The sequence below is a fragment of the Homo sapiens genome, chromosome 6 (assembly GCF_000001405.40).
Source record: "Homo sapiens chromosome 6, GRCh38.p14 Primary Assembly".
In the NCBI taxonomy this organism is placed as follows: domain Eukaryota; kingdom Metazoa; phylum Chordata; class Mammalia; order Primates; family Hominidae; genus Homo; species Homo sapiens.
In genome coordinates this window covers 134,969,711-134,984,821 of record NC_000006.12, presented here as the reverse complement: position 1 = coordinate 134,984,821, position 15,111 = coordinate 134,969,711, and the positions used below count along the sequence as shown (strand labels likewise).

Sequence of the window (15,111 nt, the reverse complement as noted above, 5' to 3'; positions counted from 1 at the left end):
ACTAAAAGATATACAGAAACTTTATAGATAGGGCTGAGGAAGGACCAACGTAGAAGAGGTTCAGAGCTTGCTGGAAGAGATGATATATTAAATACCTAAGAATATATCTAACTTAATAAGGGCAAGATCCTATATAGAAGACTATAAAGTGGAAATACAATTTAAAAACTCAATAAATAAAAGGATATAAGATTTATTATTACAATAATAAAAACTGTAAGGATGTCATTTGTCCTCTAAATCTCCATTGTCACAGAGCCAGCAATGCAGAGTGAATGTGGAACTGAGCAGCAGTAAATTGGTAACCGGCGTGCTTACCTGCGCACATGCCCTGACGCGTCCCTCTGTATTCTCTGTATCCTCTGTCATTGTGCTTTCATGCAGCATTATAATTTTTTCTATGCTGTCTGTTTATCCCACTTAGATTATGAACTCCTTGAAGGCAAGTACTATCTCTTCTTTATCTATATCTGCGGCCCTAGCCCAGTGCCTGGCACATAATACATTTAACACATGAATAAAAAAATGAATGAATGAAGGTGCTTTGAAAAAATCATGCAATGAAATCAAAATTTATCATTATCATTATTAGCTTCCAGTGTTCTAGTAATAGAGGAAATATGCTAATAGTTTCCAAGATGCCCATTGTTTATCAAGAATACAAGAGGTGGTTACTTTTCTTTGATTAACAGTGTTTGCTGACTGTACTTTCTCACCTTCTGTTCCCCCTTCAGGCTGCTTCCTGGCTTCCGCCTACGCTGCTCTCCTGAGTGTGTTCCTCCTGAGGTCATGAAATGACCTCTTGGTTGCCAAAGTCAATATACACTTTCAATTCTATCTTACTTGAATTTGGCATTGGTTCTGATGCTGGTAGCCACATCCACCTTGAAACTCCTCCCTTGGTTTCTGTGACCTGCTTTCTCCTGTTAACCTGTCTATTTCTCTGACCTGTCTATCTCTGACCTCTCTATATCTTCTCTATGGGCTCCTCATTCTCTGTCTTTTAAACAGTGTTCTGCTGCCTCAGTCCTCTTCTTAGTCTTCAAGTTCCTTTTGAACTGACATCCATGAGTGTCTCTACCTTCTGCATCTTGATGCTTCCCAAATCTGTATCTCCAACCCAAACCTTTTCACTCATTCTCCACACACTTGTCTAAGCACTACTGGACATCTCTCCTGGGAGAGTGTTCTTTTAGGGGTACCATTCTCATGGAATGTGGTGTGATTGGTCCCCCCGGAATGCAACTTCTGCATGTGTGTGTCTCATAGACACTTCAGATTTACCAAGCCTAAAATGGATCTTGTCCTTAGTTTCATATCTCACAGTTAATGCATCATCATCTCACATTTTCCCCTTTCTGTCATTAGTCTTCACTTTCCTTACCACTCCAAACTTGTTATTCCTTATTCCCGAATTCTTGAGTTTATTCCCTTTCTGTAGTAAGTTTGTGCATTTGTATCAGCCTCTACTCTAAGACAGAAATACCATCACCTTACTTCTCCGGTCACAATATTTACTGGCTTCCTATTACTTAACTGCAGGATGAAATTTAAACCCTAAGCGTGATTTATGAGACCCCTTTATTATTTCTCCCTTGCCTATCTCTGTTGCCTCCTGTCTTACCTTTTCTTCATTATTCTATATGGTCCCCTCCCCATGGCCCCCACAAGTGACACATGACTCTTAGCCCATCCCACATTTGGTTATGCCTTTGCCCACACAGTTTCCTGGGGCAGCAGTGTCTTCCTTTTTCTCCCTACTCATGCATACAAGCTACCTAATAAACACTTATTCCTTCTTCAGAGTGCCAGATGTCTATTCTCACCATCATGGATTCTTTGGTGCACCTTTGTGTTTCTATTGTATATTTTACATATTATTTGTCTCAGGACAATGTAATTGTTTCCATCTTTCTCTTCACTAGTATAATATCTTTATGGGCAGGGACTTACATTTTTATTTTTTTTTATCCCCAGAGTTTAGTATAATATCTGGTACTACGTATTTATTATTTCTCAATAAATATTTGAGAAAGGAATGAACCTTTCTTTGGTAATATGAGTATTTTTATTTGCAAAAAAAAAAAGTAAAGTGTGGTATGCCATATTTAGTAGAGATGTTAATTCTGAAATGATTATTATTTAATGTCCATTGAACTACTAGTTTTATATGACTACTTGAGAACTAAGTATAGTTAACGGTATTAATCATCAGATAACATTGCTGTATGAACCATAAGATTTTGGTATGTTTTGCAGATCAAGGATCTGGATTTTGCATAACTGGTAAAATAGAAGCTGGTTATATCCAAACTGGTGACCGACTACTGGCAATGCCTCCTAATGAAACTTGTACCGTGAAAGGTATTTATCTGCAAGATGCTTTTGCTAAACAAGCCTTAAGTTGAGACAGCAGATTTTTAAAAAGTGGTTTAGTTACAACTCCAAAGTAAGTAACCTCTTACTGAAATTGTAACTGACTGTCAAAATGATACTGACTGTTGAAGATTAAAATGTGAAAACATTAAACGATTTTTTTCTGTTGTGATTGTGTCTGTATATATATGTACATAAACATTCTAACTGTAGTAGCATTCTATTTTTGACACAGATCTGAGAAGCCTGGTTAGGATTTAATCAGATATGTATAGATACCTCACAGATGTATTTGGAATAATATTCTGTAGCAGAAATTAAATCTAGTCCCAGCCTTACCCTAACTAGTCAGTGGCAAAGCAGCCTTCTACAGTCTGTTACTTTGAAATGTATGTTTCAGAATAACTATAAATTAACAGCTTTGATCATGTTTATGCCAAAAATGTAGGTATATTTTATAGGAAGATATAAGTAACATTCAAATGGAGAAAAACCCAATGTTGAAAAGAGAAATTGAACTAGTTTAAATTGCCAGTCACTGTTTCTGCATATAGATCTAATTTTTTTCATAATGACTGATAATTGTTTCTGTCTTCTAATATATACACACATATATATATTTATGTATATGTATACATGTTATATGTTACATGTACATGTATATTATTTTCCAGATTTTGACTAAAACTTTCTAATTCTATACCTCTTTTATTCTGGCTTCCAACTAAGCCTCTGACTTCTGAAGATCTGTTTTATACTATAAAATAATATTATTTGTAACCATTTTAAGCTGAAGTATAACCTATTGGAAATGCAAAAATTTTTTAGATTTTAGTATTTTTCCCTCTGTTACTCTTAATTTATAGTTTATATCTAGAGTTGTACCTGACTAGTTTATCAATTTGAATGTATATTTTTCTTGAATTCATATGCTCTCTTTAAAAGAAGATTTCTTGAAAAGTTTAAGAAATTAATATCTATTGAAGTTACATGGTTTAACCTATATTTAAAGATGAATAAGGGAATGAAAATCAGTTATTTCCATTTGACCTTTTTATTTGTGCCCACTAGAGATCATGAAATTTCAGTTTTGATAAAAAGTAATATGCACTTTAAAAATAGTGTCATTTTCTATAGATCTGTTCATTGTGTGCAAGTACAGGTCTCTGCTTTTGTTTTTTAAAGTGACAAGAGCTATAATACTTTTGAAACACGATTTTTTTGGTATGTTAATGATCTTTTTTGAGAACAAGAATTTTTTTATGATTAAGAGCCATAAATTAAAACCATGATCCTAAAGTTATCACAGACCTTGAGGTTGGCTCCCTTGTAACCTCTAAAATCCTTAGTCATCTCTGAAAGTCTCACATTCTTTACCCTCCTCTTCTCTGTACTTTCCACACAGAGAAACTCTAAAGTATTATCTTTTATCAGTGTAAGTCTTATCAGAAGCCCCAGGGAAGAACCACCCTACTTCTTGAGAGCCAGTCTTTTAACTCAACAGAGAGGTTCTCCTTCCTCCATTCTAACCTTACTGCTTTTGCTTGGTTTACTTGATTCTTGAAAGCACTGTTCTGTCTAAACATTTTTAGGTACTACTGTGGCTCTTTAACCAGTACTGTCCCAAAAGAAAGACTTGACTGAATCTACTACCAACAAATAGAAATTCTAAATTACTTTTTTTTTTTTACTTTATTAACATATCAAGCTCATAGAGTATTAAAAAAGAGCCTCTTTTTGTAATGTTTGTCCAATGAGAAAAGTTTTTTGATAAATGTCATATGTGGAACAGTGTAACATGATTGAGGGGAAGAAGAACCAGAGAATATAATTACCTTTGGAAAATTTTATACTGTTAATTGAACTTGTAGTATAAAACATCTACAAATGTTTAAGCCAAAGTCAATCTCTATTGTGTGTAAATACCTAGCTTCTGTTTTTAATCCCATATTTCATAGCAAAATTCAGATATGTTCATTCTAAATTTACATTTTAAAATTAAATCTAGTAAGTTGATATTTAACAAACATTCCTTAATACGATAATTGCTAACATGTTTGGGAGGAAGAATCTCTGATACCTGAAGAAAGTTATGCCTTCTTTTCTCAGATTAATGCAGATGTGCACATACATGATATTTTGCATGAAACTCTAGATTGTCTCAGAGCTCTTAAAGTTAAATCCTTGAGCTCCCTAAAAGTCAGAAACTCTCCCTGCTGCATAGAAAATGAGTATTTTCAGAAAGATATGGGTGGATTATAATTTACTAAGAACATGTCAATGTGTCAATCAAGAACTATCCACAGTGGTTGGCCTACACATTCTCTTTGTCAAAAGGCCTACATTTCTATGGAAAGGAACTTAATCCATAAATGTATTCCATAAAATCAGAAAATATGGGATATATTTTAAAAGCCTTTGAGTAAGGTAGCTGAGTATTGCCCTTGGGAACTGCTCTCTCCGACTACCTTCAGGACTATGTCTAGGTAAATAGATGTATATCTCTAGATATATAGCAACACCTAGGATCATTTTAAAATTAAATTTTCTTATCACTATTTCCTTAATATTTTTCTTTTCATATAACTAGTCATTAGTATGCAGATCTCTCTCTGGAAAGAAGTTCTTTTGAGCCAGGAGTAGTTAAGGGGCCTGCTGAGAGGACCGCTTGAAATTCTGACTGAGTGTACATGTCCCATGGGTTACTTGGAAAACAAGGATTATTTGTTTAGGTGGTTGTCTAATTAAAAGCAAAACTCGAGAAGAAAATACTGCTAGACATCTTCTCCAGCCCATCTTTTATGTCATTATGAATAATTTGAACTGTGTTTTATTTTGTCTGTATCCATTAATATGATAGAAATATTTGAATGGGGCCTGTTTAATGAATATACCAATTGTGTCAATTAGTTTAAAAATCTTGATTAAATAAGCAGAAGTCAGCCTTTTATGGGCAAATACAAGTCACTTTATGTTTAGGGTGGTATTCTAGAAGAGTCAGTTCTAGAGGAAGTGTGTTTTCCTCAACGCTCACAGTTACACTTCTTACTCTCAATCCATTCATATTGAAAATGATGAGTAGTGACTGATGAAGCACAAATCAGCCAAACTCTGTTGGTTGTTATGGTTTGATATCGAGGTGTTTCACTGTATGCTTTGGTTCTTACTCATTTCCAGGAATCACTCTGCATGATGAACCTGTCGACTGGGCGGCAGCAGGCGATCATGTTAGTCTTACTTTGGTTGGGATGGATATCATCAAAATCAAGTGAGTGAGAAAATGAGTTTAAGCAACCGTTGTCTTCATATAGGACCTCACCTCTAAACACATATATTTTGCAACCTGCTAGTTCAATTTTGAATTTCATTTGACCAAAAATAGACACCTGTGTAAATGTAAGCAAACTTACTTAAAATTTGAATTAATACATGTCAGCACACATACTTGGCATGTGCTTTGAGTGAAAGCTCTAATGTATAAAAATGACATAAGGTTAATAATGGTTTAAAGTCATGCTTTAGCTCAGAAGAGAATATTTAGAAAAAGTCCCTAATTTACTTAATTGTTTTACTTTCCTTGTAAATGTTTTTGAGGTCTTTCTATTTGATGTAAATTTGTCCCCCAATTACCTTTCCTCTTTTTTTGTTGTTCTTACAGTGTTGGCTGCATATTTTGTGGCCCCAAAGTACCCATTAAAGCTTGCACTCGTTTCAGAGCCCGAATCCTCATCTTTAATATTGAAATTCCTATCACTAAAGGATTTCCTGTAAGTTCCAAAATGTTTTATTATTCCTGTTTTTATAAATTCAAAGTAACTTTATCCTAAAAGTGGTAACTTTCTTTACAAGTGGTGATACTATATTTATTTTGAATTAACATCTTATTACTGTAATCCAGAAAAACTTATAATTAGAAAATCGTTTTTATTTTGTTTTTTATTTTGATCTTTGAGCCTGAGGACTTTTTAAAAGGCATTGAGAAGATATTTAATAATAAATAGGATACAAAGTAATGATAATAAAATTTATCCAGGGAAAAATGATAGACACATTTTCACTGTGTTCTAAAGTTTACTTACTTCTAAGTTTTTCTTAGTTACTTCTAAGTTTTTTAGGTTGAATCATTCTGGGTTTCCATTTTTAATATGTCGATTTGCAGTTTTTCTGATAATAAAAGTTATAGATTGCATAGAAAATTTTGGAAAACTTAAAAATATGGAAAATAAAAATGCCATATACTTGCATAATCCATAGATATATATCTTTACATGTCAGTGTGTTTTTATGTGAGCATATTATCCACCCAGTTGGTATGTATTGGGTGTATTCTGGGGATCCTAGACATACAGTAAATGTCTGGGGATCCTAGACATTCAGTTGTGCTGAAGCAACACATTCAGAACCTGCATGTTGTAAGGTTGGTTTGCCAGCATCATTTGAACATATACATTTTATGGGAAGAGGGAGATTTTATACAATAATGTTACTTATCCTGAAAAGCTGTTACTTGTGAATAGTCTGGATTTTTTGTTTTATGTGTAATTGTTTTGAGATATTTGGGACCGTACTCTTATAGTTTTTGTACTTTGCTTTTGTCACGTGACAGATGACCATTTTTCCCATTAGACTTTTTTTTCTAATTAGCTCATATAGTACAGATTCTGCATGACAATAAATGTTTCTCAGTGATGTTTCTACCATTTGATGCATCTTTGAAATAAAAGTAAGAGTTTTTAAAGTTAGTGATAGTGGTTTAGAGGTTGGCAATACATTTATTTGGGTCATTTATACTGATACACCTATATTTGAGATAACCTTGTACTTTATAATTCTTTGTAATTATTTCTATATTAATTTGATCATGTAAAATTATATTTTAAGGTACTATTTAGGTACTTTACTTACATAATTATATTCCATTTCTTCCATACACTAGAAAAGAAAAGCTTCTTTTAAAAAAATTGCTATAGTTGAAGATACTTAAATATTCAGAATTCATGTATTGATCATCAAGTAACAACAAGTTAATTGTTGTGAGCGAATGGAACTCATTCACAGAAAGCAGTATGTCCTATGAGGCAAAGGAGGGGTTGGTTACTGCATATTTTTACTCATGCAATAATAATATTTGCCAATGGAGAGGTAGAGGGATGAAGAGGTCAGAAGTGACTTTGAATAGTAATACTGTCTCCCTGACTACTGTAGTTTCTTAAAAATAAGCATGAATTGCAAGTTTTTCACTGTTGCTTTAGGAGATTCTGCCAGCATATATTGATTCAGAAATACCAGGATCAAATTTGTTTCAGAAAAATATGGCCATATTTTGTCAGTCTACTCCCTATGGGAGAAAAACTTGAAAAAAAATTTTTTAAGCAAACAAAGGTTTCCTAAGCTATTAAAATTTTACTGTTTAGGGACTAATGCCATAATACTACATAAATATATTTAAATTTTCCCTATTTTGTATGGGAAACTCTATTTCAGTAGCTTTTGGGTACAAGTAATTTTTTCCTTTGTTTTTTATTTATTTGTCAATTTTCTTTTTACTTCTTTTTACCAACTAGTGGTTTTTGATTACATGGATAAATTGTATAATGGTGAAATCTAAGATTTTAGTGCACCCATCACCCAAGTAGTGTATATTGTACCCAAGATGTAGTTTCTTATCCCTCACCCCCTTCAAGCCCTACCCGCTACTGAGTCTCCAGTGTCCCCTATACTGTTCTGTATGTCTTTGTGTACCCATAGCTTAGCTCCCACTTTTAAGTAAGCACATATGCTATTTGGTTTTTCATTCCTAAGTTACTTCTCTTAGAATAATATCCTCCAGCCCTATCCAAGTTGCTGCAAAACACACTATCTCTACCCTTGTATGGCTGAGTAGTATTCCATGGTGTACATATACGTTTTCTCTATCCACTCATTGGTTGATGGGCACTTAGGTTGGTTCCACATTCTTGCAACTGTAAATTGTGCTGTGATAAACATGCATTCAAGTATCTTTTTGATATAATGACTTATTTTCCTTTGGGTAGATACCCAGTAGTGAGACTGCTGGATCAACTGGTAGATCTACTTTTCGTTCTTTGAGAAATCTCTGTTCTGTTTTCCTCAGAGGCTATACCAATCCACATTCCTACCAGCAGTGCACAAGTGTTCCCTTCTTCATCGCATACAGGGCAACATCTATTGTTTTTTGACTTTTTAATAATGGCCATTCTGGCTGGAGTAAGGTGGTATCCCATTGTGGCTTTGATTTGTACTTCCTCGATGATTAATGATGTTGAGCATTTTTTCATATGTTTCTTGGCCATTTGTATGTCTTCTTTTGAGAAGTGTCTGCTCATGTCACTTGCCCATTTCCTGATGGAATTGTTTGCTTTTTTTTCTTGCTGATTTGAGTCTTTTGTAGATTCTGGATACTAGTCCTGTCAGATGCATAGTTTGCAAATATTTTCTTCCATTCTGTGGATTGTCTGTTTACTATGTTCAGGATTTCTTTGCTGTGCACTAGCTCTTTAGCTTAATTAGGTCTTATCTATTTATTTTTATTTCCGTTGAATCTGCTTTGGGGGTCTTAGTCATAAATTCTTACCTAGGCCAATGTCCAGAAGAACCTCTCCCAGGTTTTCCTCCAGAATTTCCATGGTTTCAGTTCCTAGATCCAAGTCCCTCTTGAGTTAACTCTTGCATGTAGTGAGAGATAGGAATCCAGTTTTCGTTCTTCCATATGTAGCTATCCAGCACCATCCATTTTCCCAGCACCATCCATTGAATAGGGTGTCCTTTCCCCAATTTATGTTTTTGCATGCCTTGTCAAAGATTAGTTGGTTGTTAAGTATTTGGCTTTGTTTCTGGGTTCTCTATTCTGTTGCATTGGTCTATGAATCTACCTTTATACTAGTACCATGCTGTTTTGGTTATTATAGCCTGTAGTATAATTTGAAGTAGGGTAGTGTGATGCCTCCAGATTTGCTCTTTTTGCTTAGGACTGCTTTGGCTAATTGGGCTCTTTTTGGGTTCCATATGAATTTTAGGATTGTTTTTTCTAATCTTGTGGAAAATGATGTTAGTATTTTGACAGGATTTGCACCAAATCTGTAGATTGGGCAATGTGGTCTCTTCCATGATATTGATTCTTCCAATTCATGAGCATGGGATGTATCTCTGTTCATTTGTCATCCATGATTTCTTTCAGCTGTGTTTTGTAGTTCTCCTTGTAAGAGATCTTTCACCTCCTTGGCTAAGTACATTCCTAGGTGGGTTGGTTGGTTGGTTTTGTAGCTATTGTAAAAGGGATTAAGTTCTTGTTCTTGATTTGATTCTCAGCTTGATCGTTGTTGGTGCTACTGATTTGTGTACATTGATTTTGTAACCTGAGACTTTACTGAATTCATTTATCAAATCTAGGTGTTGTTTGGGAGGAATCTTTAGGATTTTTTAGGTATGTAATTATATCATTGGCAAACAGAGATAGTTTGACTTACTCTTTTCCAATTTGGATGCCCTTGATTTCTTTCTCTTGCCTGATTGCTCTGGCTAGGACTTCCAGTACTGTGTTTAATAGAAGTGATGAGAGTGAACATCCTTGTCTTGTTTCAGTTCTTAGGGGGAATGCTTTCAACTTTTCCCCATTTAGTATGATGTTGGCTGTGGGTTTGTCATATGTGGCTTTTATTATTTTGAGGTATGTTTCCTCTTTGCCTAGTTTATTGAACATTTTATCATTAAGGGATCCTGGATTTTATCTAGTGCTTTTTCCGCATCTATTGAGATGATCATCTGTTTTTTTTTTGCTTTTAATTGTTTCAGTGGTGAATCACATTTATTGACTTGCATATGCTGAACCATTCCTGCATCCTTGGGAGGAAACCTCCTTGATCATGATAAAATGTCTTTTGGATATGCTGTTGGACTTGGTTTGCTAGTATTTTGTTAGGGATTTTTGCATCTGTGTTTATCAGGGGTGTTGGTCTGTAGCTTTCTTTTTTTGTTATGTCCTTTCCTGGTTTTGTTATCAGGGTGATGATACTGGCTTTATGGAATGAGTTAGAGAAGATTCTCTCTTTCTCAGTCTTTTAATAGTTTCAGTAGGATTGGTATTATTTCTTTGAATGTCTGGTAGAATTTGGCTATGGATCCATCTGGCCCTGAGCTTTTTTGTTGTTGTTGAAAATTTTTTTTTTATTACTGATTTATTCTCACTGCTTGATATGTGTCTGTTTAGGATTTCTTATTTCTTCCTGATTCAAGCTTGGAGGGTTGTATGTTTCCAGGATTTATCCGTTTCCTCTAGATTTTCTAGTGTGTGCACGGAGGTGTTTATAGTAGTCTCAAATGATCTTTTGTATATCTGTGGTGTCGTTTATAATGTCTCCATTTTCCTTTTGAATTGAGCTTATTTGAATCTTCTCTCTTACTCTATATTTTTTAAGAGGAAATAATAGAAGAATGGATTAGACTTTAAGTGAATTTATATTTGATTTTTATTATTTTATATATATATATATGTGACATAGAACTTACCATTTTTAAGTGTACAATCAGTGGCATTAAGTACCTCCACAATGTTGTGCAGTCATCACTACTGTTCATTTTTTTTTTTTTCTTGAGATGGAGTCTCGCTTTGGCATCCAGGCTAGAGTGCAGTGGCACAATCTTGGCTCACTGAAACCTCTGCCTCCTGGGCTCAAGCAGTTCTCCTGCCTCAGCCTCCCGGAACTGCCTCAGCCTCTCGAGTAGCTGGGACTACAGGTGTGCACTACCACGCCTGGCTAATTTGTTTTATTTTTAGTGGAGACGGGGTTTCACCATGTTGGCCAGGCTGGTCTTGAACTCCTGACCTCAGGTGATCCACCCGCCTTGGCCTCCCAAAGTGCTGGGATTATAGGCATTGAGCCACTGCGCCTGGCCAGTCATCACTACTATTCATCTGCAGAACTTCTTCAACATCCCAAACTGAAAATCTGTACCCATGACACAGTATCTTCCCATTATTCCCTCTTGGTATCCCCTGATAACCATTCTTCTACTTACTTTCTCTGTGAATTTGCCTGCTCTAGGTTCCTTATGTAAGTGGAATCATACAATATTTGTCCTTTTGTGTCTGGCTTATTTCACTTAGCAAATTGTTTTCATGGTTTGTCCATGTTGTAATATGCATCAGAATTTCATCCCCTTTTAAGCCTGAATAACATTCCATTGCATGTATATACCACCTTTTAAAAATCCATTTATCTGTTGATGCACATTTGGGTTATTTCCATCTTTTGGCTATTACAAATAATGCTGCTGTGAAAACGGGTGTACAAGTATCTATTGAGATTCCTGCTTTCCATTCTTTTGGGCATATGCCTAGGAGTGGAATTGCTGGATCATATGGTAATTCTGTGTTTAACTTTTTGAGGAACTGCTAAACCATTTTCCACAGGGGCTCTACCATTTTACATTCCCACCAGCAGTGCATAAGGGTTCTATTTTCTCTACTTTCTTGTCAACACATTAAATAACAAGTTTTCTAGTAGTGGGGTGTGGGAGAGGGATTTTAAAAATATAATAGGCAAACTAATAGTTGTTAAGTGGTGTCTCATGGTGGTTTTGGTTTGGATTTCTCTAATTAGATGCTGAACATCTTTTCATGTGCTTATTGGCCATTTGTATATCTTTGAGAAATGTCTTTTTAAATCCTTTGCACATTTTGAATTAGGTTGTGTTGTTATTAATAGAAGTTCTTAATATCATCCCTTATTACATACATGATTTGCAGATATTTTCTCCTATTCTCTAGGCTGCCTTTTCATTTTCTTGGTAGTGTCCTTTGTTGCACAAAAGTTTTTAATTTGGTTGAAGTACAGTTTATTTTTTCCTTTGTTGCCTATGTTTTTGGTGTATTATCCAAGAAATCATGGCCAAATCCAATGTCATAAAGCTTTTGTGCTATGTTCTCTTCTAAGAGTTTTGTTGTTTTTGCTTTTATATTTAGGTCTTTGATCCATTTTCAGTTAAGTTTTGTACATATGTAAGGTAGAGAGCTTCATTGTTTTGCATATGGATATCCAGTTTTCCCAGCACGATGAGTTGAAAAGACTATTCCTTCCCTATTGAATGGTGCTGGTACCCTGGTTGAAAACCAATTGACTATGTATTTGTTAACATTTTAAAAATACAGGTTATCTAGAAAATTAAGGAAAATGATTTACTTGGCCACCTAACAGACTACGTAGCCCATTTGAGTTTATAGAACACTAGATAATTTGATTCTCATAACCCTACACGAAGAATAGAATCCCAGCCTTTACCTGAAACCCTTTAGAGCAATGGTTTTAGAATTCAGAAATGTTAGAACTTTAGAAAGGTAAATAATGCATACAAGTTACATAACAGAAGGGAACAACACTCTAAAATCAAAATATTAATGTTTCTGCACCAGAACTTATTAACACTAACTGAGATAAATAAGATCTATACATTGCCTCACTTCAAGTCTGGTTTTGCATTTAAATGGGCTTGTTACAGACTTAAGAAAAAACTTCAAATTTTCAGTCTTTTGGGACTTGGGAATTGCAGATAAGTGATTGTGGACCTGTATTAGTATGGTTCCTATTTACAGATAAGGAATTGAACCCTCCGAGAGGTTGTGCTATATAAATAATAAGTGATTAAGCCAGGACTCCTTATTCATTACCTTTACTCTGAAATTCAGTACTTTTTTTTCCTATTACACTATGCTGCACATTACTTTGAATTATAGATGACTTTGGTTATATATAATATGAATTAAAATATTGAGATAGTGTGCAGTCACTTCCCTCTGTTATTTTCGTGTGATAATTTGTTTGAGCTACTATTTGCAAGATACTGAGGAGATGAAAAGACATATAAGACCTAACTTCATGCTGCCACAACCCATCCTTTGTCCATCCTGATTTTGCATAGCTCACACATAGCTCACCAAGGGTAGAAGAACTTAATTAGGTTTGTATGCTTCTGTTCTTTCAAATTTGGCCATGGAGACTGGTTCCAGTTCCTTAGTCACACCTTGGCTAAGCGAAGTGAATCCTGCTTGTTTACCTCAGTTGTTTGTTACAAACGAAATGTTTCTTAGATATTTAGACTTATATTTATGTTATATTGGTACTGGTTAAGACCTGAATCCTTTGAATGCACACAGGTGTTTCTCACCACTTTACCATTCATTGTGGCAAGTTTTTCATCCCCAGTAGTCAGTTTTTAATTCTTTTGGAATCTTTCCAGTTCTGACTCCTCAAATGCCATTGAAAAATAATACCACTTTTGTCTTTTTGGAGTAATGCAGGCCCAGCTGTGCCCTTTTTTTTTTTTTAATTGAATGAGTTGGTTTAGAAAGTTCCCAAAGTCTAAGATTGTACATCTACAGCCCCCCTTGCATTTCTGTTTTCTGAATGTGCAAACTATTTTGGCTAGGAAATTCCAGAGTAGAAGTGCCAATGTTTCTACAAACAGCATTAAATTGTACTTATAAACCAATGAAACTTTGATAGCTCTGATATGTCCTGGGCATTGATCTTTCCAATATCTCTAAACTATAGACATATTACACACTTAATGCTTATTGCACACTTATTATTTGAGCGAGGATAGTCAGTCTAACTTTGTTCTGGTTTGGATTAGGGTGTATCCAAACCTTAGCTTCATCTTCATAAAGTGAAAGTTTCCATTTATATGATTTCTATAGGCCTCCTTGTAAACTCAAGTGGGAAGAGCTTTGAATTTGTAGTTTCAGCTGACATAAGCCTAAAATTCAGCTCTACACACAGCATCATGGCCACATTAAATTGCTTAACCTTTTTGATTTTAATTTTCCTTACATATAAAACATGGAAATAATAGCTAATATATAAGGCCATCAGTTAACTGAATGCTTGCCATGTGCCAGGCACCACTTTAAAATAACATCTGATTTTCCTCATTTCAGTGATAAGGAACCAGAGGCTGGGGATTTTAGGGGTGGAAGATTGTTAAAGAAATTGCCCCAGGCCAGGCACAATGGGTCATGCCTGTAATCCCAGCACTTTGGGATGCCGAGGCAGTCGGATCACCTGAGGTCAGGAGTTCGAGACCAGCCTGGCCAACGTGGTGAAACCCCATATCTACTAAAAGTACAAAAACTAGCTGGGCACGGTGGTGTGCACCTGTAATCCCAGCTGCTGTAAGGGCTGAGGCAGGAGAATTGCCTGAACCTGGGAGGTGGAGGTTGCAGTGAGCTGAGATCGCACCACTGCACTCTAACCTGGGCAGCAGAGCAAGACTCCGCTTCCAAAAAAAACAAAAATAACTTGCCCCAAAGTTCACACAACTAGAGGTGACTTGAACCCAGGTCTGTCTGACTTCAGGGCCTACTAAGCTGCTGCATAAATTAAATAGTACATATAAATCATAAATCATATCATACAATGTTTGTACCCAGTATAGTTAAAAACGTTATTTTCCTTCCTCTTTACCTCTATATTTATTATAATATTTTATTCTTATTCAACAATGAATACATTAATTACTGTGAATATGATATTATCCCCCTCTCTAATCTGTGTGAGACAATTTATATTGGTTGAACTTCTACCATGGCAAGCACTGTGTCTGATCCTATTTAATTTTCATCACAACGCTATAAAAGCCTACTTATTTTACACTTGAGGAAACTGAGGTACAGACAGAAGAGAAAGAGTTGAGATTCAATCCCAGGTTCTTTCCCTACTA

General features: G+C 35.2%; 1 protein-coding gene and 1 non-coding gene across 5 annotated transcripts in view; both read left to right on the top strand.

Moving 5' to 3' along the window:
* HBS1L (HBS1 like translational GTPase) overlaps nt 1-15,111 on the top strand; it is a 94,445-nt gene that overhangs the window by 70,001 nt on the left and 9,333 nt on the right. For all 4 annotated transcript variants that reach the window (NM_001145158.2, NM_006620.4, NM_001363686.2 and 1 more), the window contains 3 exons: nt 2,260-2,364; nt 5,554-5,644; nt 6,035-6,143. In NM_001145158.2, the coding sequence (NP_001138630.1) occupies nt 2,260-2,364; nt 5,554-5,644; nt 6,035-6,143 (305 nt within the window). The remainder of the gene's footprint in view (nt 1-2,259; nt 2,365-5,553; nt 5,645-6,034; nt 6,144-15,111) is intronic.
* On the top strand, nt 5,390-5,484 carry MIR3662 (microRNA 3662). Its single transcript, NR_037435.1, has one exon. It is a non-coding gene; the product is annotated as a microRNA 3662 (primary transcript).